Raw genomic sequence first — 26,076 nt, forward strand, 5'->3', positions numbered from 1 at the left:
GCGTTAGTGCAATAAAGACATTAAATTTAATAGTCAATTAAATTTAGAACCTCCCTTCAAGTAACTATTTTTATGTTAAACTCAACGGTAAATTGTGAGCCTTTTAAAAAGATTGGAGTATAAAAATGTATTGAAAATAAAAATTGGATGTCAATTTTTTACTTTTTTCAAACGATATTTCTCAGAACATCTAATGTATTAATATTTATCAAATAGATACTGGTCCTATCTGTTTATCAGATAAATATTGATGCTTTAGTAAACTTTAAAGGTAGAAGAAAATTAATTTTGACACTTAGGAAACATCTATTCTGCGAAGAAAATTATAGTGAAATGGTAGAAAAAGAAAATCTACAGAATTTTCAGTAGTCAAAATTAGGTGCTGCTTATTTTTTATTGAATTTTTGAGTGGTTACAGTTTCTTTTCCAGCCAGATAAGCTAAGTAGGAATAGATCCATTATTATGTTTTGTCTTATGTTTGTAGCTATGCAGTCAGTTTGTTAAAGGATTATTTTTTATAGTTTAATACTTTGTTTCCTACTTACTCTGTTTCTTTTGTGTATCTCAAATTCTTGCCAGTAAGTACAATTTGAGTTTTTTTAATCTATTTTTTGATCTTTTTCTTTTTTAAAAAAACAGTAAAAGTCTAAGAGAAGCGTGGTAAGTAGTTCTCAGTGTCTCATTTGACATCTCAAATTTAGTATGCCTTTACAGAATAGGAATATGTAGGTGGATACTGAACCTTTGCTTGCAATATTCTAGATTTTAGGGAAAACATTAACTTAAAACACTCTTTTTGTTAGCCTTGATTATTAAACAATTCTTTTATATGGTAACTGAGATAGGGGCTCCTCTGACTTCTGTCTAGTTAGTTCTTGGCATCAGAGTCCTCTTTACATGCAGATAACAGAAAATCCATTGCAAAATGGCTTAAACTAAAAAGAAAACTTAATCAGCTGAATGAATTCCTGGTGTATATCTGATTTTACCTGAGCTTTTTTACTTTATCTTTTCTGTTTTCCTGTGTTTTGATATAATCAAGCTGGTTTCTTAGCAGGATGGCTGCAGCAACTTGAAGCTTCATATCTTCATACTACCACAGCTGTGGGAAAGAGAACATTGTAGAGAAGAGAGCACTCGGATGTCTTAGAAATATAATTGAAATACTCACTGTTTCTTATTGTCTCTGATTAGGTCTTGTGCCCATTGTTGAACCAAATGCTGTGCTTAGGAGGATGGGACATGTTCTTTTTGTTTTGCTTAGTTAGGGCCTGGCTCTGGAGCCAGGAGAGGGGAGGAGGAAATGTTGCTGGATGTAAGTTAGCACTGATACTAATTATTCTAACAATGATTAATAGTTAGAATGGCTGGGTGCAGTGGCACATAGTCCCAGCTCCGCAGGAGGTTGAGATGGGAGGATCGCCTGGGGCCAGGAGTCCAAGGCTATGGGGCACCATGATCATGATGCCTGTGAATAGCCACTGTGCCCTAACCTGGGCAACATAGCAACATAGCAAAACCCTTTCTCTTAAAAAAAAAAAAAAAAAAAAGCAGAATGAGTTCTTTCTATTTAGATATTCTGGAAAGTAGAAAGTTTTGTTAGGGATAGGTCTTTTTGCATGTAGAAGAAATTATTTTAATTTGTAAAAAGTATTCTTTGATTTTGCAATGCTCTTTGAAGGGTGCATTTTATTTTCCAGGTGTGTGTGTGTGTGTATTTATATGTAAATATGTTCCTTTTGTTATTTCTGACTTAACTGTGATTTGATTTGTACATGTTTTGTTGAAGATTGTTGCTTCTATATTAATAAGAGATACTGCTCTGTACTTTTCTTGTATTATCTTTGTCTTGTTTTGATATCAGAGTAATGCTGGACTCAGAAAATGATTTGGGAAGTGTTTTCTGCTTTTCAGTTTTCTGGATGAGATTGTTTAGGATTGGTTTTATTTTTTTCTTTAATGTTTGGTATATGTTGCTGAAGAAACCACTTGCATCTGGAATTTTTTTTTTCTTGAAGGTTTTTAAACTACAAACTTAATTTCTCTAATAGTAAGGACCATTCAGTTTATCTGTTTCATTTTGGTTGAGTTTTGGTAATTTGTGGTTTTTGAGTAATTGGTCTGGTTTTATCTAAGTTATTGATTTTATATGCATAGAATTGTTTGGAGTATTGCCTTGTCATTTGAATGTCTGTGGCAGCTGTAGTAATAATCCCCTTTCATTTCTAATATTATTGATTTATGTTTTGTCTCCTCTCTTGTCCTGCTAGAAGTTTATTAATTTTATTGATCTTTTCAAAGAAACAACTTTTGGGTTCATTGATCTTTGTAATATTTTCTTTGTGTTTTCATTTCTTTGATTTCTACTCTTTATTGTTTTCTTCTTTTGCATGATTTGGGTTGATTTTGCTCTTGTTTTTCCAGTGTCTTGAAGTAGAAGCCTAGATTATTGACCAGAGATCCTCTTTTCTAATGTGTTTATTACTGTAAACTTTCTAACTACTGCTTTTGCTGCATCCCTGAGGTTTTGATATATTTTCATTTTCATTCAATTCAGTGTTTTAAAATTTTCCTTGCGTAAGTTTAAGTATTTAGAGTTTAAAAAAATCCTTCTGTTACAGATTTCTCGTTTTAATTTTGTTAGGATCAGAGAATGTACTTCACATAATTTTCATTCTTTTAAATTATTTTTGGTTTGCTTTTAGACACAGGTTTGTCTTGGTGAATTTTCCATTTGTTCTTAGAAAGAATGGTATGTGTATATTCTGCTGTTATTGTGTGGAATGTTCTATTGATGTCAGTTAGATCCCATTGGTTAATGGGGTTGTTCAGGCTGTCTCTATCTTAGTTGGGTTTCTGTCTCATTCTGTCAGTTACTGAGAGAGGGATGTTGAAGTCCTCAACTCTTATTTTGGACTTCTTTCAGTTCTGCCAACTTTTGCTTAATGTAATTTGAGGTACTCTTGTCAGGTGTTTGTCCATTAAGGATGATGTATTCTTAGGAGCACCACTAAAGTCCTAGTATCAAAACCAGACAAAGATATTTATAAAAAAAGGAAACTATAGAGCAATATCCCTTATGAACATAGACATAAGAATATTTAATTAAATTTTAGTAAATCTTATTGAGTAATACAGTTGTCCTTTGGTATCCATGGAGGATTGGTTTCAGGACTCCAGAGAATACCAAAATCCATGGATGCCCAAGTCTCTTTTATAAAATAGTATATAATATTTGCATATAACCTAAGCATATTCTCATATATTTAAAATTATCTCTAGATTACTTAGAATACCTAATACAATAGAAATAGTTGTTATACTGTGTCTTAAAATTTTTGTTTTTTAAATTGCTGTGTTATTTTTAAAATTATTTTCCCCAAATATTTTCCGTCTACCGTTGGTTGAACCTGTGGATATGTAACTGGTGAATACTGAAGGCTGAGTGTATATTACATTATGACTAAGTGGAATTTATCATAGAGATACGTGGTAGGTTTTACATTTGGAAATTAGCTAGTGTAGTTTAAGATATCAGTATAATAAAAGAGAAAAATCATAGGATTATCCCAGTAGTTGGAGAAAAAGCATTTAATAACATTTAACATCCATCGATGATAAAAACTGTCAGCACACTAAACTAAAAAGGGGATTTCTTTAACCTGATAAAGAGAATTTCAAAACAACAACAATAAGCAAAAAATGCAAAATACCCCCCACATACTTAATATTGAAAGACTATATGCTTTCCCCTAAGATTGCAAGCTAGGCAAAGGTGTCTACCCTCTCACTTTTATGTAACATTGTACTGGAGATCCTAGCCAGTGCACTAAGGCAGAAAAAAGAAAAAGAAAAAAAAAAAAGAATAAAGATTGGAAATGAAGAAGTAAAACTATCTTTACATTTTTAGTCAACATAATTGCCCACAGAGAGAATCCTAGGGAATGTACCCAAAAAAGGTGCTAGAATAAACAAATTTAGTAATGTTATAGGATACAAGTTTAATATGCAAAACCAATTATGTGTCTTGGTATACTTGCAACAAACAGTTATAAACACAGTTTAAAAAATAAAGTCATTTGCAGTAGTATCAAAAAATAAGAACTATATGTGTATAAATTTGACAAAATATGTACAGAACCTGCACATGGAAAACTTTATGTTGTTTTTGAGAGAAATTTAAAAGGACTTAATGGAGAGAAATGCCATGTTGATGAATTTGAATATTCAATATTGTTGGGATGTTAATTCTTTCTAAATTTATGTTTAAATTTAGAGGAGTCCAATGAAAATGACTAGGCTTTTCTGTAGAAATTGGCAAGTTGATTCTAAAATCTATGAAAATACAAAGCACTTAGAATAGTCAAGTAATTTTTTTAAAAAAAACCAAGTTGAAGGATTTGCACTACCTGATTTTATAAATTACAGTAAAGCTACAATTCAGGACAGTATGGTTTTAGCATAAGGATGGGCATAGAGATCTGTGGAAAAGAATAGAAATAGAAGTGTACATACATGGTTAATTGATTTTCAACAAAGATGCTGAGGTTCAGTGATTAAAAGGATAGCCTTTCCAACAAGTGGTGCTGGGTCAACTGTATATTTGTATGGGAAAAGAATGAGCTTTGCCTCTTCCTTCAACATTGTATAGAAAAATGGATCACAGAGCTAAATATAAAAGCTAAAAGTAAAAAAATTTCAGTAGAAAACACTTGAGAACATCTTTGTGACTTTGAGGTTAGCAAGGATTTTTTAGAACACAAAAAGCATTAAGTATAAAATAAAAATGTTGGTAAATTGGACTTAATGAAAATTGAAGATTTCTGCTCCCCAAAGACATCAGGAAATTGGAAAGACAAACCAAAGACTTGGAGAAGATATTTGAAATATTTACATAAGGATGTATCCAGAATATATAAATACTTCCCCACCCAAGGAGGTATATGAATAGCCAGTAAGCACATCAATAAGCAGGGAAAGTAAAATTCACACCACAATGGAATATTTCTACACACCCATTAACATGTCTAAAATTTGAGGATCAACAATACCAAATATTGACAAGGATGCTAGAGCAACTCTGTTATACATTGTATTGGGAATGTAAAATGGTACACTGTGGAAAGCAGTTTGTTGGTTTCTTATAAACTTACTGTATAGCCTAGCAATTCCACTCCTAAATATTTCCTTGTTGCTCACAAATGAGATCAGGTGTAGTTGTATGTTTCTTAGTAAATTCGATTTTTTTCCGCCAATGATATAAAGAATTTACAAATTGAATTTTAAGATCTTTTTCCCTATGTTATATAAAAGTTTGTATAGAATAGGAGTTATCATCCTTAAAATTAAAGTAGTAGTCATTCTATGAAACTTCTAGAATATGGTATTTTGATAGCGGGTAGCTCTTTGAAAACTTTTTTATTTCCTGTGTTTTTCGGTCTGTTTAGATTTTCTGTTTCTTCTTTCATAAGTCAAAAATAGTATTTCTCGAGAAAGATCAAATTTATTGTGAATATATGAATAAAATGGGCCTTTTATAATTTTAAAAAATTTTCTCTGTGCTTGTCTGTTGTTACATTTTTATTTATTTTGTGTTTTTGTCTTGTCTACCTTTTAAAAACGAGGTTAATGGTAGATTCATTGTATGGTTCTTCATGGAACCATTTCTTGAATTTATTATTTCAATAATTTTCTTCATTTCTAATTCATCCATTTCTGCCTTTAGTTTTTCTCATTCTTCTATTATTTTGCTCAAATTTGTTTTTTCTTTCTTAGAATATTCAGTTATTTTCATTTGTTCTTATTAACTAGTATAAATATTTTAAGTGTTTTTGTGAGAACTGCTTTAGTTGATTCACTTGCTCTCATACTAAATTTTTATGATGTTTTATATATTTTGCAATGTCATGTTTTGCTGCTTCTTTGACCCAAGAATAGTGTTAGGCTTTTTCATTTTTTCCTGTTCAAATCTTGACTTCCTCTAGGTAAACAATCATGATGATAGCCAGTAATTTCAATTTTACACTTTTCTTCCTTGAAGCCTTTAGCTCATGGCACCTAGTGCAACTAACCAAGACTGGTACAGAATAGGTGGGTCAGGCCTTTTTCCACTCCAGAATAGTCAATACCTTAGAGAAATATGTACTTAGAGGACTAAATAAATAACTAGGTAACTGGAGGAGCAGAACTATCTACAAAAATTAAAATAAGGACACAAACAGTAGTCTCAAGGATTTAAAATAAGTTTGGTAAATGTTTTGGATGAAATGCTAAAATTAAAAGAGAATACATATTCAAGAATTTATGCAAGAGATAGAGATATATGAGTGATTAAATGGCTTGATACCATTTTTATCGTAATAAAAAGCTGAGGAACGTAACAACACATAACTTTCTAGATAATATCAACATGAAGGGAACTGAGTAGGTAGAAGACCAAGGAATTTATCAGAGTGTGTTGGAGTATTTGTCTTGTTAGCTAAGAGAAGATAGATGTATTGATAAGTTGAAGAAATTATTAGGAACACATGAACAAGAAAATGGCATGTAAATTAAGAACAACCATCATAAGAACAAATTTGTGTAGCTTTAAATCATTGGAAGAAAACAATTTCTACTCAGTAGAAAGAGGAATGGAAAAAGAAAGAAAAGAGGAGAATAGTAAATGGAAAATGTGAACTAAGTAATGTTGAATGCTGGCTCTGAAAATGTCACCAAGAAAACCCGTTGATAAGACAAAGCTGTTAATTATTACTTTGGTAAGGAGATCACTACCTCGCTGGAGTCGTAACCTTTCAGAGTTTTGGGGTATAAATCATCATTTGATACTTTCTGTTGTAGAGTTGATGGGTCTTTAAAGAAGTTCCTGGAATGAACAATAAATTTTTTTTGCAACTTTTATCTTTCTGAGCAAGAGCTCCTGGAACAGTAAATTCATGTTGTTGAAGACAATGTAATATAGTAAAGCCATGTTAATGCAGGCAGTAAGCTGTGTGGATCATTTGCATTTTCATAGGACACAAATAATAATTGCATTAATGGGATTGGGGTGAACCCATCTGCTCCCTGATATTTATTTTTTTGCTGTACTACTAGATTTTTTACTCTACTAGTAGCAAAACAAACCTAGTTTATTTAGGATTTGTAGAGTTATATTCATTAGTAAGATTGGCCTGTTTTCTTCTCTTAAGTTTTCATTATCTAGTTTTGGTATCAGTTAGGCTGGTTTTGAATTAATTCTTCCCTCTCTTCCTCCCTTTCTCTCTTGCTTTCTTCCCCTCAGAACATTTTTTTAATGATAAGGATTATCTCTTTCTTAAAAGTGGATACATTTTATTATTTTGATTTTCTCTACTCATATTTTGTTTGATGGTTTCCTTTTTTCAATTTGATCTACCTGCTTGTTGATTGTTAAGGATTGTTTTTTTTCCACTGTGGTTATCCAGCCCTGTTGTACATTTATTATTATTTTTAAATATATTTTTTGTCCTTTATATGAATTTGGACCAGACCAGAAGGACATGGTTGTCTTATTACTTAGCTTTGTCATTGTGAAGTACTCTCCTCTTTTCTTGAATTAATCCTCTTTTTTTTTCCTTTCTCAGTTAAGTAGATAGATATCTCATATTCTGACGAGGCAGAAAATTAAGGAAAAGTATGCTTTTAGTTTTCTTTTATCTTCCTATTTTTAGTAAAGTACTATTTTTAGTAAAATATATTAAACTATGTATATTATCTAATATATACATATAATTTCTAATGTAAAAGGGAACAATATTGGGTATTCTAAATTTTTAGTCCTTATACTCTTACTTTAGTTTACCTTTATACATAAATAATTAAAATACACTGAATGTGAAGGGAATCTTTTTTTTCCCCCCAAAGAGAACAGGAACCTAAAGGGATCTTTTTAATGATAATTTTTTTCTTCCCAAATATAGGAAGTTCACAAATGGGTGCTACCATAGTAGATGCTTTGGATACCCTTTATATCATGGGACTTCATGATGAATTCCTAGATGGGCAAAGATGGATTGAAGACAACCTTGATTTCAGTGTGGTGAGTGTATGATTGATAACTAATCTCTTAGATTAACCATGAAAAGACACAATGTCTAACTGCTATGGTCTGAACATTTGTGCCTTCCTAAAATTCATATGTTGAAACCTAATCACTAATGTGACGGTACTAGAAGATGGGGACTTTGGGAGGTGATTAGGTCATGAGGGTTGACCTCTCATGAATGGAAAAAATATATATATATATTTTAAAGTTGAGTAATTAGCACAGCTTCGATGAATTTTCATAGTTAGGCCTACACTCATTCTTCTGGCACTTTAGCATGGTCAAGTGGCACTGCTTAGGTTTGGCATAGTTGTTAAGTCACACGCCCAGCACAGTTGCATTCTTGGTGTGCGACTTGAGAAAGTTCCTTATCTTCCTAAACCTGTCATAAAATTGATATTCCATTATAGTATTGTGAGGATTATTTGAGATAATGTGGTACATATTAAATGCTCAGTAAATGGTAGCAATTATTTTCATTATCACCAGTCTTCACCTAAAAGATGTGTGGACTGTTTTGTCATATTCACATCTTTTGTGATATTTGTGCTTGCTTTTCCTTTTGACTGTATTATCCTTCACTACTTCTCTATGTACTTCTCTCTGGCAGACTCTTCGTTATTTAAATTGTGATATAAGTCCATAATTATTTCTTCTCTGATGCCATTCTTGGAGCTAACTAGACAAAAATGGTTTACTTTCCTTTATATTACTGTAGAATTTGGACGTATCTCAAAGAGAACAATTTTTATTATCAATTAAGTTTAGGTTTGATGGTGAGTGATAGAAAACCTAATATAAAAGAGCTTAAACAAGATAGATATTTATTTTTTTTTCATGTAAATCAAGTACAGAGTTAAGCAGTTCAGGGCTGGTTTGGGTGGCTCCTTGATCATCAAGGATCTAGGATCATTTGTCTTGTTGTTCTGTTGGCTTCAGTGTATATCTTAGACCTCATGATATGAAATGGTTCCTAAAGATCCAGACATTTTATCCAGTTGACAGAAAGAATGTGACTGTTCTCTAAGAAGACTTCTCAGGAGGTAGTCTCCCCATTTTTGCTTTTAGAGTTTACTAACACAGCCTCAACTAACTCCAAAGGAAAGCTGAGAAATGTAGTCTTTTTTTCTGTGTAGCTATGTAGCCTTTATACAACAGATTGTGCTTTTTGTATCTTGTTTAAGAAAGCCCTACTCCTAGATCATGAATATATTTTCTTATATTTTATTCTGAAGGTTTTAAAGTTTTGCTTTTGTATTTAGTCTTTAATCCAAATGGAATTGAATTTTTTTTAATGTAGGATGAAGTAGGCCACTATTAGTTGATCCTAGTACCATTTCTTTTCCTGCTACTTTTATATGCCACATTAGTCATATATTAGTCATATTACAGTTTATTCTTTAACATTGGCTTTTTTCTTTATCCATATGTCAATACTAAACTATCTTAACTACAATTTTTTTTATAAGAAGCTTGATGTCTGTATCTGAATCTGTTCTCTGTTGGTATCTGATCTTGTTCTCTGCGGAAATTGTCTTAGTTCTCAGCTTTTTGTTCTTTCAAGTTCTGGAAAACTGTGTGGAAATTTTGAGGAGGATTGCATTTAATTTGCAGATTAATTTGGGGAGAATTAGCATCTGTGCAATACTCCCATTCATTGACAGGACAGCTTTATAATGGCTAATAATTCCCTTGTATATCATTATTATCAGTCAGGGTTCAATCAGGAACCAGACTATGCCATTTATTTTAACTAGAGGATTTAATGTTTAGAATTGTTATCCAACTAATGGGGAACCAAAAAGGCAAAAAGAGAGCATTGTGATATCACCAGAAGTATTAACTCTAGGAAACAGGAAACAGCTGCCACCTGTGGGGACTATAAGAACAATGGGAAGAGGTTGGGATCATTAAAATGCAGTAGCTTGGGCTCTATGGAACTGGTACCTGTGCTGCCCAGGTGTTACTGGTACCTCAGGAAGACTGTGTCAGAGCTGAGACTCAGAACTCTGAGGAGGAGACACCTAGCCAAGTGCTTGATATCTGTAAAGGAAACCATGAGGCTGATTTGGGGATTGTGTGTCTGTATGTGTGATAAGGGAACAGTACTCTGGAAGCAGTTGCCACTGCCAGGGTGAACCCTGGCTGGTGAGACACTATCAGAAACTAGAAGTAAGCAGGAGGGAATAAGACTCTTCTTCCTCCAGTCTTGTATTGTCTTTTTAGAACCTCCTAATGTTAGTGCCTAAAAGGGAGCCAGTTGGTAAATTAAATGCATTTGTGTAGTTCCAACTCCCATATACCAAAGTAGAGTATAGAAGAATGGATTTGAACCTGAGAGAAGTAGTGTAATCATCAGCACAGTCATTTTTTGTTCCTTTCTTTCAACCTTTAAATGTCATTATGTTTTAGCTGCTTATTTTGCATATATAGTATGTATTTGGGTTTTGTTATTTTTATCCAACCTTAGAGTCTTTTTAACTATTAAGTTTGATATATTTACATTTACTATGATAACATATTTGGAGTTAGGTCTTTCATCTTTGTTTTGCTACCTATATTATGATCATACTTTTCATTTGTTTTTAGTTTGTTTTCCTTATTTTGGATTAAATTACATCATCTCTCTTTTTCCCTCTACTAGTTTAACATTATACCTTCCATTTCTATTGACTTTGGAGATATCCTTGAGTTTAAATATATATATATATATATATATATGTGATATATATGTTTTATAAAAATACATTAAAACTGAGTTTTATCTCTTTTTTGTGTTTGTGCTCTGGTGTCAGGAGCAAAACAATAAACAATGTATGTTTAAACTTTAAGGGTAACTCCAAAGTAGGCGTGCACACACACACACACACTCTCTCTCTCTCTCTCTCTCTCTCTCATCAAAGTATAGTATATATAAATATATATAAACTTTAAGGATAACCCTAAGTAGGCAGTTTGAAATTAATCAATTTCAGACAAGGAGTCATGGCTCGTGTCTGTAATCCCAGCACTTTGGGAGGTTGAGGCAGGAGGATCGCTTGAGCCCAGCTTGGGCAACATAGTGAGACCTGAACTCTACAGAAAATAAATCCCAGCTACTTGGGAGGCTGAGGAGGGAGGATTGCTTGAGCCCAGGAGGTTGAGGCTACAGGGAGCCATGATCATGCTACTGTACTCTAGCCTGGGCAACAGAGTAAGATCCTCCTTCTGAAGAATATAAGGATTTTAGAATGCTTTAACTTAACTCATCCCCCTTTTGTTTTATGTGTCATTGTTGTCTAGTTGATCCCAAGTTATATTTTAAACTTCCAAATTAAGTAATAGATAAATAAATGCACACATTTATCAAATGCAACAGGCACTGTTCTAGATTCTGTGGATATAGTAATCAACAAAACAGAGTTTTATCTCTTTTTTGTGTTTGTGTTCTAGTGTCAGGAGCAAAACAGTAAACAAGTTATATATAGTACATCAGAGGGTGATGATAAGTGCTATGGAGAGTAATGGTGGGGTACTGCTATTAGTATTTTACATGGGGTGGTCATGGAAGAACTCTTTGTTAAAGTGACACTTCTGAGAAGAGACCCAAGGGGAGCCATGTGGATATACAACTCTGTCTTAATAGATATTAAAACTGAGAATAGAGGTACAGTTCCCTTGTCTTTCCTGCTTCTGTTATACTATTGCAAAGTGTGTTTTCAGTTTAATTTTAAAAAGGCAATCTGTTTTTTCCCTTGTTTTAATATTTTATTTTTTGCTTTGTTGTTCTGTAATTCTATTACTATATGTCTATGTGTGGGTTATTCTTTAAAGGACTCATAATGTTTCATCAATCTGAAGACTTACATTTTCATCAAGTTTAGTAGGTTCTCAGTTATTACTTCTTTCAAAAATGTCTCTATCCTATTTTTCCGTTCTGTCCCTCTAGAATTTCTGATACCTTTTGTTTCTGTAGTGAAGGAAGATTGTTTTACAAATGAAACTATTTGATTACCGTGTGATTATATATAGTTAGATGATGATGTGTTAATTAGGGAAATAATGCAAGGTAATTGGTATTAATATTTTATATTAGATGGTCAGAAAAAATTTCTGATAAGGTGACATTTATTCAGAGACCTATAGGAAGTGAGAGTGATTTGTTCAGTTATGTGAAAGGAAAGCATCCAGATAATAGGGTAACAATTGTAAAGCTGACATAGGAGTCTCAAGTTTGACAATTCTGGGTACAGCAAGTAGGCCCATATAATTAAATGAATCAAAGGGATATTAATACAAGGGATGTCAAAGAGGTTGTAGGGGATCTGAGCATGTTGGATCTTATTGGTCATTTTACTCTTGAGTGTTATGTGAAGGCATCGTAGGGGTTTGCACAGAGTAGTGATCTAAACTGATGTAAGATTTAAAAGGCTCATTTTAACTATAGTGTGCTGAATAGAGGGTAAGGAGGAGGGTAAGTATTAAAGCAGGGACTGGTTGGAAGGTTATTGTTGCAATTCTGGTAAGAGATGGAGGCCCTCCCACCCTTTTTTCCTTCCTCCTCATATTTAGTCAATGTCTGCTATGTGCCCTGTAGTATGTTAGATGTTGGGAATATATGAAGTAATATTAAGCACTTTGCTTTCATGGTGGGATGGAATGATGATCGTGTTATCAAAAAATTACATTATATTGTAAAAATTCTATACTGAAGAAATATGTTAGCAGATGATGTGCCTGCCTATGAATGTTGGAAAGACTTTAGAGTAATACAGTTTCCTTTTAATTTTTATTAAAATTAACTATGAATGTTTTTATGTTAGTTGTATATCTTCTGTAGATTCTTTGATTATGTTCTCTGCCACTTCTGCTTTTCTTTCCATGTGTTAGAATATTTCTAGCAATATCTATATCAATATGTAAATACAAACATAGAGACTCTATTTAGTAAGGTTATTAATATTACTATATTTGTGCTGTTTCCATCTGTTTGCCATTTAGTTTTGTTTATGATTCTTTTTCTTATAGGTAATTTGCATTTTAGAAAAATTTCATGTCTGTCATCAATTTATCAAAACTATTGGTTTTATGCTTAAGTACCTGCTTTCTCAGGGAAATTTATATATTGCCACACTTCTACTTTAAAAATTTTTTTAAACATTTATTTCCAAATAATTTAGATTTCATTTTGATATTTGTGAAATTAGTATTTATGTTAATTTCTTACCCAGGAGGCAATTTTCTCAACATTATTATTGAATAATCCATCATTCTGCCATTTTTTTGGTGCCTCCTTTAACACTTATTATATATTCTAGGAAAAATACTTAAAATCCAGGAGGAGAGAGGAAGTAAAAATTATGCTGTAGTGATTAGAACAGAAGAAAAAGGACCACCAGTAAAGAGTGCTATTCTAGAATCATGACCCAGAATTCTAGAAATGAAGGCTTTCATGAGGAAGGGTAATAGTTAACAGTGTTAAATATCCTGATAAGTTCACAGTACTGTGTAAGGTACATAAAAAATGGCTTGTTGGTTTCAGGAATTAGGGAGCTGTGGTGACAGCAGTAGAGAAGTTTCAGTAACATTAACAAACGAGAGGAGAGATTGCAGTTGCATGAGAAATGAAGATGCAGAAAGTAGAAAAATATTTTCCACAGGGTGTTTGTGAAAAACAAATGAAGTATTGATAATATTTTGAAAACTATAAAGCATTACGTATTTGTGAATGTTTTCAATATGTTTTTCACAGAATTCAGAGGTGTCTGTGTTTGAAGTCAACATTCGATTTATTGGAGGCCTACTTGCAGCATATTACCTATCAGGAGAGGAGGTGAGCAAAATCAAGCAATGCATTGTTTGTTTTGGAGGGGAGGGTTGGAATTTAATAAAATGAACAATTTCCCTAGAAGCATATTAGTTTTCTAAATTGGTAATATTGAACCAGTCTAGAACTGGTTGCTTCAGGCAGAACTATTCCTTGGGAATAATAATTTTTCCATTTTGAGGCTCTCAATAAAACATGAATTCATCACAGATCCTAGCTTTATATACACCATGTCTCCTTTGCAAGAGTGATCCTTCTCCAGGATTTTGCCATTGCAATTAATTCCATGGCCCAAGTAAAGGGGGAAAATAAACTAATAAGGACAAAATTAAATAACAAATCAGAAAGAATTAATATGGATCCTCCTAAGACCAAAAATTAGTAATTCAAACTTACTGTTTAGAAATTGAATCCAGTTTTTGGCTATAAATAATAACAACTCTGAATTCTCCTCTCTGGAAATCTTGGTACAGAACACATGGAGACACTTGAGACCTAAGGTGATGGAGAAGTGGGTGTAGGAAATTCCCTTTTACTATTGAAATAGGTTAAAGAATGAGGTTGAAGAGTGGGAGAAAGAGAAACTAAAGGAAGAGGTTATAAGTCATTTATTTGTTTTTTGAGCAACTGTTTCACCCATATTTTGGTTTGTTGATCTAGACAATTTGTAAGAGCTCTTTGTAGATTTAAGAAAATTTACCTTTTGTTATATGTATTATAAAGATACATATCTATGTTAGCTGTATTTTGTTTAATTTTTTTTTGTTGTTAATGTTGAAGTAATCATTTAAAGGATTTTTTTTTCCCCCCAGTGTTTTGGCTTCTAGATTTTGGTCCTTAGAAAGCCTTTCCTATGTCTGTGTTATTACAAAACAAAAATTCCCATTTTCGTATGGATTTTTATGACTTTATATACTTTTATCTATATATTTCATTTATTGTTGTTCCTTTGTGTGTAAAGAGTGAGCTATTTATGTACTACCTTTTTTTTTTAGAAGAAATATGTTTAAAGATGCTGGTATTTAATATATTAGATTACATTTATCTTAATGTGTAATTTTATTGTCAAATTATATTGTGTGATTTGTTTATACCTCTAACATATATTTCTATAGTCAGAACATTTAAATTCACATTTAATAAAATAGAAAAAAATGATATATACTCTGGCCAAGAGGTTATCAAACTTTAGTATGTATTAGAATCACATAAGGTGTTTTATAAAAATGAGGATTCCAAGCCCTGCCCAAAGGACCGATTCAGTGGGTTTAGCGTGGAGACCATTATCCTACGTTGTTCATGCCAAATACTCCTTGTTAAAGGTGATTTTGGAAACATTGGTTCTATATTTTGAGAAACTCTGACCTGGCTTATAGGAATAAAATCATTGTGAATTAATTGTTATTTTTAGTAAGGTTTATTGAGGTATTATTTACGTACAGTAAAATTCAGTATATAGTTTTATGAGTTTTTACAGTGCATAGTATTGTAATCACCAGCATGATCAAGATACAGAATTTTATTATCCTAGAAAATTTCCATTTACCATTTTATAATTACCCTATCCCATTGCCAGCCCCTGATAATTACTGATCTCTTTTCTGTCTCTACAGTTAAGAATGCTGGCTTCTTTTACTTAGCATAATGCATTTGAGATTTATCCATGTATTAGTAGTTTATTCCTTTTTACTGTATTACAGTACTCCATTATGCATTTTATATATTTATCAGTGGAATTATTTACAGTTTTGGAGATTGTGAATAAACCTGCTATAAGCATTTGCCTATAGATTTCTGTGGGAAAATAAATTTTTATTTATCTTGGATAAATACATAGGAATGGGATTTACTGAGTCAAAGGTTAAGTGTATATTTAACTTTGGAAGAAACTGTCAGATTCTTTTCCAAAAATTGCCTCTCATTGTTGTGAGTACTTTGTATTGTGAGTCTCTTTATTATTGTTAGCCATTCTAATAGATACATAGTAGTATCTCATTGTGGTGGTTCTATTTTGCATTCCCTGATGACAAGTGATGTTGAGCATCTTTTCCTATGTTTATTTGTCATATGTATTTTTTGAATTAGCTGCTCAAATCCCTTGCCCATTTAAAAATTTTTGTTTTTTTTGAATTATTAAATTGTGATAGTTCTTTACATATTTTGGACATAGGTCTTTTATAATCTATACATTTGCAATTATTTTCTCTATCTGTGGCTTGTCTTTCCAGTGATTTAACAGTATCTTTTGAAGAATTGATGTTGTTAATCTGGAAGTACAATTTACTAATTTTGTCTTTTATGGTTCATGCATTTGGTATTTTGTTTAAGAAATGTTTGCCTAATCCAACATCACAAAGATTTTCTCTTAAGTTTTCTTCCAAAACTATTATAGCTTTACTTTATTTGTACTTTTAAGTCTGTAATTGATTTTGAGTTAAATCCTATATATGCTGTGAGGTATAAGTTGAAGTCTACTTTTTTCCATATGGATGTTGAAAAGACTACTTTTTCATTAATTGACTTTGTACCTTTGTTGAAAATCAGTTGATTAGGTATGTGTGGGTCTACTCTAGACATTCTGTTTTGTTCTCTTGATTTATGTGTCTGTCTTTGGTACTACCACATTGTATTCATTATTATGGCTTTATAGAAAGTCTTGAAATCAGGTTGTGTGAGTCCTCCAACTTTATTCCTTTTCAAAATTGTTGTGGCTGTTTTAGTTACTTTTCCTTTTTGTATAAATTTTAGAATCAACTTGTTGGTTTCTATAAAATCTACTGAGATTTTAACTGGGATTATAAATTTTGAGTGATTTGACATCTTCACAGTATTGTTTCAGTCCATGAATAATGGTATATCTCTCCATTTATTTATTTTTTTATTGGTGTTTCTACTTTTTAGCATACAGATCTTGTATGTATTTTGATAAATTTATACATATTTCATGTTTTTGGTAGTTCTGTATTTTAAATTTTGGTTTCCCATTGTTCATTGTCAGTATATATAAATACATTTGATTTTTAAAAAACCTTTAATAAAGACTTAAATTCTCAGTTGTCTCAGGACATTTTGTTTCTTCTAGAAAACTTTGTGATACTATCATTTTAAAAAAGTGCTAAAGGTACACAACATAAAATTTACCATTTTAACCATTTTAAGTGTGCAGTTCAGTGGCATTAAAAACAACATTTGCATTGTTGTGCAATGTGCAATTGATTTTTCTTTTTTTCTTTCTTTCTTTCTTTTTTTTTTTTTTGAGACGGAGTTTTGCTCTTATTGCCCAGGCTGGAGTGCAATGGCGCGATCACAGCTCACTGCAACCTCTGCCTCCCGGGTTCAAGCGATTCTCCTGCCTCAGCCTTCCATAATTGATTTTTATATTGACTTTTTACCCTGTGATTTTTCTAACTTCATTAATTAATTCTAGTAGCTTTAAAATATACTTTAATAGATTCTTCAGGATTTACCTTATAAACAATCATGTCATTAGTAAATAGAGATGAGTTTTATTTTTCTGTATAGAGAATGGTTATTTATTTATTTTTGTTCTTTTCCTGCTCCTTCTCCTGAGGCAGAGAATGGTTTTATTTGTGTGGTCCTTTTCTTTTTCTTGCCTTACTGCATTGCCTAGGACATCTACTACAAAGTTGAATAGTAATGGGCAGAGTAGGCATCCTTGCCTGGTTCCTGATCCTAGGAATTGCAGTGATAGCTTTATTCTCTTCCACGATCATGGCATATGGCTTCAAAAGTACTGTAATCCAAGAATGTTTATTATTTCTGTTGGTCTGCTCCTTTAACTCTCCACCTTTCGTACCCATAAGATTTTTGCCTGGTTTGTCCTTTCTGTGCCCTGGAACGAAGATAGTTCCTGGAAAAACTAGTCCCAGAGGGAGAGCTTTTGCTCATGACTTGGGAAGGAGTGCTTTTGCTCATGACTTGGGAAGGAGTGGGATTTATGATTTGGACCTCTAGTCTCTTTCAGTCCCCTCAGCTCTCCTATATGCGTTTCACTCCTCTGCCTTGAGTCTGCAGTCTGCTGCATACCCCATCCTCCATCTGCCTCAGCCTTACATACAAACAGTAGGTCTGGGCTCTTCCTCTCAAAGGTCACTCAGAGAGGTGCCTTTCTTCATAAAATCTTTGGGATTTAGATTTCCCCGGGAAGGATGGAATGTTCATTCTTGGGTCTCATCTTTTCCCCTTGACCCAAAACTTCTTCCCCACAGAAATGTCTTTAAGAATCTTCTGAGCTGCTTCATCTGCTAACTGCCAGTTCTCTAACACTGAAATGTGGTAGGTAACTGGACATATTTGAAGGACATCTTTATGTAAGTGATATATGGAGTCAGGAGATAGCCACCTTCATATATTGCTCTGTGCCAAGAGAAATAAAACCGATTTCTTTTTCCAAAAGAAGGAGACAAAACAGGAGAGGGGGAAGGGAAGAAAAGGAGGGGGAAGGGAGGAGAAGGGAAAGGGGGAAGGAAGGGGAAAGGAAGGAAGAAAAGGAGGGCAAAGGGGGGAGGGAAGGGGGAAGGATCAGAACTCTATCTATAAAAAGATGCAAAGTTTTAAAACTTGGAAAGGAAAAAACAAAACTCCCAACCCAAGTTGCTTCACTGGCAAATTCTACCAAATATTTAATATCGATTATATGTAAATTTCTCCAGAAAAAAAAGAAGAGTAATTTTTCAGCTCATTCTATGAGGCCAGCATTAATCCTATGTGACACACACACAGAGGTATTAAAGTAAAACTATAGATCAGTATCTCATGTGAATATTGTAGATGCAAAAAATTCTCAACAATGTATCACAAAATCAAATCTAGCAATATATAAAAAGGGTAATACATCATGACCAAGTGGGGTTTCTTCCCAAGAATGCAAGGCTGGTTTGATGTTCAAAAATCAACCAATATAATTCACTATGTCAACAGACTAAAGAAAAACATCATATAATCTTATTACATAACCACAGAAACATCTGACAACATGTAACGTCTATTCATGATAACAACTTGCAGCAAACTAGAAGTAGAAGGGACCTTTCTCAAGGTGATAAAGGGCATCTACAAAAAACCTATAGCTAACAATATTCTTTTTATCTTTTTGTGTATGTTGTTATTATTATAGATTTCAGTTTTATGCTGCAAATCCATAGTACATTGCTACCACTTTTACCTTAGGTGATCAGTTATCGTTTAGAACTATTAAAAATAAAAGAAATGCCTTTTTGTCTTCATTTCAGTCATTTTTGTTGGTCTTTTCTTTTTGCAGGTTCAGGTTTCTGATTTTTCAGGTTTTTCAGGTATTTTATTCCTTCTGTGGAAACAGCTTCCTTTAACATTTTTTATAGTATAGGTCTATTGGTAGTGAGTTCTTTTAGTTTTTGTTAGTCTGAAAATCTATTTCCACTATATTTTTGAAAAATTTTCTTTGGGTATAAAATATAGGTTTACAGTTTTTCCTGTCAACACTTTAGAAATGTCACTGCATTATCTTATAGCTTGCATAGTTTGTGATGAGAAATCTCCTTTAATTCTTTATTCCTCTGTATGTAATAGGTCTTTTTTTTTTCATTTGGTTGCCTTTAAAATTTTCTGTTTATATTTTGTTTTGTATGAAGAGTCTGAGTGGTTTTTACTTTGTGTGTGTATGTGTTGGGCTGCAGGGGTATGAGTAGGACTGTTTATTTTGCCTGAGGTTCTTTAAGCTGCTGGGGTCTGTGGGTTGATATCTTTAATTATTTTCTAAAAAATTCTCAGTTATTGTTTTTTAAAATATAGACATCCATCGACTTATGATAGGATTATGTCCTGATAAACCCATTGCAAATTGAAAACATCCTAAGTTGAAAATGCATTTAGTACACCTAACCTACCAAATATCATAGCTTAGCCTACCTTAAACATCCTCAGAACACTTACATTAGCTTACAGTTGGGCCAATTGATATAACAAAGCCCAGTTTATAGTAAAGTGTTGAATAGCTCGTGTAATTTATTGAATACTGAAAACGAATAACAGAATGGCCATACGAGCACTTGAAGTATAGTTACTACTGAATACTTATTGCTTTCATACCATTGTAAAGTTGAAAAAATCATGAGTTGAACCATCCTAAGTCAAACTGTCATAAGTTAGTGACCATCTGTATTTTTTCTTATCAATACTTTAAAAATGTCACTACATTATCTTATAGCTTGCATAGTTTGTGATGAGAAATCTTCTTTAATTCTTTGTTCCTTTATATGTAATGTCTTTTTATATATTGCAAGAGCCCCCTGCCCCACTTCTGGGATTCCAATTATATACATATACTAGGCTGTCATAGCTCTTGGACTCATTGTTAGATTTTGAGTTTAGCCAAATTTAAGTGCTTTTTAAAACAAAAAATGTGCACTTCTCAGAAGATATAACAGAATCAGCTTCCTGTAAAGCCTATCAATCACAGTGATCAGGATACAGTTTAAAATTACTCAATGTATGAAAAAAATAGGGAAAATGATCCATTTTTTTTTTTCCAAAAGTCAATCAATGGTGACCTGTTCTAAGGTAACCCAGATACTGGCATTAGTTGACAAGGATGTTAAAGCAGCTGTTATAACTATGCCCAGTGACATAAAGGAAAATATTTCTGAAATGACCAAATAGATGAAAATCTCATCAGAAATGAAATAACATGGAAATTCTAGAATGAAAACTTCAGTGTTTAAAACAAAGTCATCATGTTGACTGTTGTCATTGGAAGGGTGAGAGTCAGTGAACTTGTAGATAGATCAATGTAAATTATCCAGTGTGAAGAAAGAGAATTAAATATTTATTAAAAATGAATGGAGCTTCAGAAACTTATAGGACAGTATTCCAACATACATATAATTGGAATCCTGTATGAAGAGAGCAGATAGCTGTAAAAAATAGTTGAAGAAATAATGACTATATTTTTTCTATATTTGGTGATGGACCTGAATTTCAAGAAGCTAAGTAGATCCTAAACATGATAAATACCAACCAAATGTAGGCATATCATGGTCAAACAGCTGAAAGCCAAATACAAAGAGAAAAGTTTGAAAGTATTCATAGAGAAATGACACATGTTATATGTGGAGGTACTTTAATTTGACTGATGACTGAACACTCATCAGAAACCACAGAGATTACTTTTTCAAAATTTCTTTAAAATTATGTGAATGCTTAGGCAAAAACCATAGCATTTTATATTGGGTTATAACATACATAGATGTAATACATGCAGCTGTGGAATAAAAGAGGGAGGGAGGAAATGGAACTACAAGATTGTAAGGTTTCTCCATTTTATATGAAGTTACACCATATTACTCTTAATAGTCTGTGAAAAGTTAAGGACATAATTAATCCCTGGGACAAACATTAAAGAAAAATATTGCAGACACGTATAGCTTAACCACCAATAAATAAACTGTAAATCTCTCTCTCTCTCTCTCTCTATTTTTTTTTTTTTGGGGGGGGACCGAGTCTCACTCTTGTCACCCAGACTGGAGTGCAGTGGTGTGATCACGGCTCACTGGAACCTCAACCTCCTGGGCTTAAGTGATCCTTGCACCTCAGCTTCCTGAGTAGCTGGGACCACAGGTGCACGCCACCATGCTTGGCTAATTATTTTATTTTTTGTAGAGGTGGGGTCTCTCCATGTTGCCCAGGCTGGTCTTGAACTCCTGGGCTCAAGAGATCTTCCTGCCTTGGCCTCCCAAAGTGCTGGGATTACAAATGAAAGCCACTGTGCCCTGCCTAGAAAATATTTAAATAAAAAAAACAGAAAGGAAGGAATAGAGGACAACAACAAAAAGCAATGGAAATGGCGAACAGAAAACCAAAAATAATATCATACACCTATATCCAGTAATATCAATAATGCCATTAAGTTTTAGTGAATGAAATATTCTAAGTCAAAGGCAAAAATAGTTAAAACGACATAAAAGCAAGACCAAACTATTCACAGTCTAAAAAAGACACACTTAATAGAGAGGTTGAAAGTAAATGAATGGGAAAAAAGATACATAGTATATGAACAGCAAGTGTAGAAAGGTTTAAATGACTACATCAATATCAGAGTATACTTCAAGATGAAAAGTATTGTCAGAGACAAGAGGAGACCTTTCTTTTTTTTTTTTTTTTTTTTTTTAAATTTATTTTTTTATTGATAATTCTTGGGTGTTTCTCACAGAGGGGGATTTGGCAGGGTCATGGGACAATAGTGGAGGGAAGGTCAGCAGATAAACAAGTGAACAAAGGTCTCTGGTTTTCCTAGGCAGAGGACCCTGCGGCCTTCCGCAGTGTTTGTGTCCCTGATTACTTGAGATTAGGGATTGGTGATGACTCTTAACGAGCATGCTGCCTTCAAGCATCTGTTTAACAAAGCATATCTTGCACCGCCCTTAATCCATTTAACCCTGAGTGGACACAGCACATGTTTCAGGGAGCACAGGGTTGGGGGTAAGGTCACAGATCAACAGGATCCCAAGGCAGAGGAATTTTTCTTAGTGCAGAACAAAATGAAAAGTCTCTCATGTCTACTTCTTTCTACACAGACACGGCAACCATCCGATTTCTCAATCTTTTCCCCACCTTTCCCGCCTTTCTATTCCACAAAGCCGCCATTGTCATCCTGGCCCGTTCTCAGTGAGCTGTTGGGCACACCTCCCAGACGGGGTGGTGGCCGGGCAGAGGGGCTCCTCACTTCCCAGTAGGGGCGGCCGGGCAGAGGCGCCCCTCACCTCCCGGACGGGGCGGCTGGCCGGGCAGGGGGGCTGACCCCCCCCACCTCCCTCCCGGAGGGGGCGGCTGGCCGGGCGGGGGGCCGACACCCCCACCTCCCTCCCGGACGGGGCGGCTGGCCGGGCGGGGGGCCGACCCCCCCACCTCCCTCCCGGACGGGGCGGCTGGCCGGGCGGGGGGCTGACCCCCCCACCTCCCTCCCGGATGGGGCGGCTGGCCGGGCAGAGGGGCTCCTCACTTCCCAGTAGGGGCGGCCGGGCAGAGGCGCCCCTCACCTCCTGGACGGGGTGGCTGGCCGGGCAGGGGGGCTGACCCCCCCCACCTCCCTCCCGGACGGGGCGGCTGGCCGGGCGGGGGGCTGACCCCCCCACCTCCCTCCCGGACGGGGCGGCTGGCCGGGCGGGGGGCCGACACCCCCACCTCCCTCCCGGAGGGGGCGGCTGGCCGGGCGGGGGGCCGACCCCCCCACCTCCCTCCCAGATGGGGCGGCTGGCCGGGCAGAGGGGCTCCTCACTTCCCAGTAGGGGCGGCCGGGCAGAGGCGCCCCTCACCTCCAGACGGGGCGGCTGGCCGGGCGGAGGGCTGACCCCCCCACCTCCCTCCCGGACAGGGCGGCTGGCCGGGTGGGGGGCTGACCCCCCCACCTCCCTCCCGGACGGGGCGGCTGGCTGGGTGGGGGTGCTGACCCCCCCATCTCCCTCCCGGACGGGGTAGCTGGCCGGGCTGAGGGGCTCCTCACTTCCCAGTAGGGGTGGCCGGGCAGAGGCGCCCCTCACCTCCCGGACGGGGCGGCTGGCCGGGCGGGGGGCTGACCCCCCCACCTCCCTCCCGGACGGCACGGCTGGCCAGGCGGGGGGCTGAACCCCCCACCTCCCTCCCGGATGGGGCGGCTGGTCGGGCGGGGGGCTGACCCCCCCCACCTCCCTCCCGGACGGGGTGGCTGCCGGGCGGAGACGCTCCTCACTTCCCAGATGGGGTGGCTGCCGGGCGGAGAGGCTCCTCACTTCTCAGACGGGGCAGCTGCCGGGCGGAGGGGCTCCTCACTTCTCAGACGGGGTGGTTGCCAGGCAGAGGGTCTCCTCACTTCTCAGACGGGGCGGCCGGGCAGAGACGCTCCTCACCTCCCAGACGGGGTCTCGGCCGGGCAGAGGCGCTCCTCACATCCCAGATGGGGCGGCGGGGCAGAGGCGCTCCCCACATCTCAGACGATGGGCGGCCGGGCAGAGACGCTCCTCACTTCCTAGATGTGATGGCGGCTGGGAAGAGGCGCTCCTCACTTCCTAGATGGGATGGCGGCCGGGCGGAGATGCTCCTCACTTTCCAGACTGGGCAGCCAGGCAGAGGGGCTCCTCACATCCCAGACGATGGGCGGCCAGGCAGAGACACTCCTCACTTCCCAGACGGGGTGGCGGCCGGGCAGAGGCTGCAATCTCGGCACTTTGGGAGGCCAAGGCAGGCGGCTGGGAGGTGTAGGTTGTAGCGAGCCGAGATCACGCCACTGCACTCCAGCCTGGGCACCATTGAGCACTGAGTGAACGAGACTCCGTCTGCAATCCCGGCACCTCGGGAGGCTGAGGTTGGCGGATCACTCGCGGTTAGGGGCTGGAGACCGGCCCGGCCAACACAGTGAAACCCCGTCTCCACCAAAACCAGTCAGGCGTGGCAGCGCGTGCCTGCAATCGCAGGCATTCGGCAGACTGAGGCAGGAGAATCAGGCAGGGAGGTTGCAGTGAGCCGAGATGGCAGCAGTACAGTCCAGCTTCGGCTCCGCATGAGAGGGAGACCGTGGGGAGAGGGAGGGGGAGGGGGAGGGGGAGGGGGAGGGGGAGGGGGGAGGCCTTTCATAATGAAAAAAAGGATCCATTCATTAGAAAGACATAATCACAACATTAAAACATAAGCAAATGTGTAGGCATCAAATAACAGAGCTTTGAAATGTATGAATCACAAATGGAAGAATTAAAAGGAGATTCCTTTTTAATTTTTTATTAAAAAGGTAATTCCACAAAGATTGTTGGATCCTTCAACATTCTTCTCTTCAACTGATAGAATAAGCAGACAGAAAATCAAAGATGATGTAGAAGTCCCGAATGACAGTATGAGCTATTTTAAATGAATTGATATTTATTTATACAGCACTTTACTCAACAGCTGCTGAGTACACTTTCTTTTCAAGTGCACATGGTATGTTTACCAAAAATAAATTGTATGCTGGATCATAAAACACATTCAGTCAATTTAAAAAGTTAGAAATAGTACAGAGTATGGCTAGGTGCAATGGCTTATGCCTGTAATCCCAGCACTTTGGGAGGCTGAGGTGGGTGGATTGCTTGAGCTCAGGAGTTTAAGACCAGCCTCGGCAAACATGGCAAATCCTCATCTCTACAACAAATACAAAAATTAGCCGAGTGTGGTAGCATGTACCTGTAGTCCCAGCTACTCAGGATGCTGAGGTGAGAGGATTGCTTGAGCCTAGGAGGTTGAGTCTGCAGTGAGCTGTGATCACACTGCTGCACTTCAGCTGGGGCAACAGAGCAAAACCCTGTCTCTCAAAAACAAAAAACAAGCACGATCTTTGACCATGATGGAATTAAATTAGAAATCAATAATAGACATCAGGAAAAACTTCAAATATTTGAAAATTAAGCAATATGTTTCTAAATAAATAGACATCAAGTAAGCAATTACAAAGGAAATTGAAAATATTACAAAGTTGATTCTTTGAAAGAATCAACAGAATTGATAAACCTTTTTAGCTAAATTGATCAAGAAATAACAGAAGACAGATTACCAATAGCAGGAGTAAATGGTATTGCCAATATGAGGCTATCATTGCAGATTCCACATACATTAAATGCATAATAATGGAATATTATAAGCAGTTTTTTTGCAAAATTTAATAATGTAGACAAAACAAGGAAAATATTACAAAGTCGATTCTTTTAAAGTATCCACAGAATTGATAAATCTTTTTAGCTAAATTGATCAAGAAATAACAGAAGACAGATTACCAATAGCAGGAGCAAATGGTATTGCCAATATTAGGCTATCATTGCAGATTCCACATACATTAAAGGCATAATAATGGAATATTATAAGCAGTTTTTTTGCAAAATTTAATAACATAGACAAAACAAATTTTCTAAAACAATCTTATTGAAACTGAGTCAAGGTAAAGCAAGAAGTATGCCATTTGTAGTATTAATTGAATTGGTAATAAAAAGCTATTTCACAAAATTAACTCCAAGTTAAATGGCTTTATTGGTGAATTATATCAAATAAGAAAGAAATATCATTCTTCCCCAGAGGAACAGGGAACATTTTGCAGCTCTACTTCAGAGGCCAGCATAGCACTAACATCATAGCCTGAAAGGCAATATAGCAAGAGAAAACTACAGACCAGTATACTTTTTAAATACATTAGCAAGAATCCTGAACAAACTATTA

The 26,076-nt window shown here is 36.1% G+C and overlaps 1 protein-coding gene across 4 annotated transcripts in view; it reads left to right on the forward strand.

The window, feature by feature from the left end:
* The window catches only part of MAN1A2 (mannosidase alpha class 1A member 2), a 161,424-nt gene that overhangs the window by 39,323 nt on the left and 96,025 nt on the right, over positions 1 to 26,076 (forward strand). For all 4 annotated transcript variants that reach the window (NM_006699.5, XM_006710302.4, XM_011540536.4 and 1 more), the window contains exons 4-5: positions 7,942 to 8,060; positions 13,798 to 13,878. In NM_006699.5, coding sequence (NP_006690.1) covers positions 7,942 to 8,060; positions 13,798 to 13,878 — 200 coding nt within the window. The remainder of the gene's footprint in view (positions 1 to 7,941; positions 8,061 to 13,797; positions 13,879 to 26,076) is intronic.

Source organism: Homo sapiens, chromosome 1 (assembly GCF_000001405.40).
Source record: "Homo sapiens chromosome 1, GRCh38.p14 Primary Assembly".
NCBI lineage: Eukaryota > Metazoa > Chordata > Mammalia > Primates > Hominidae > Homo > Homo sapiens.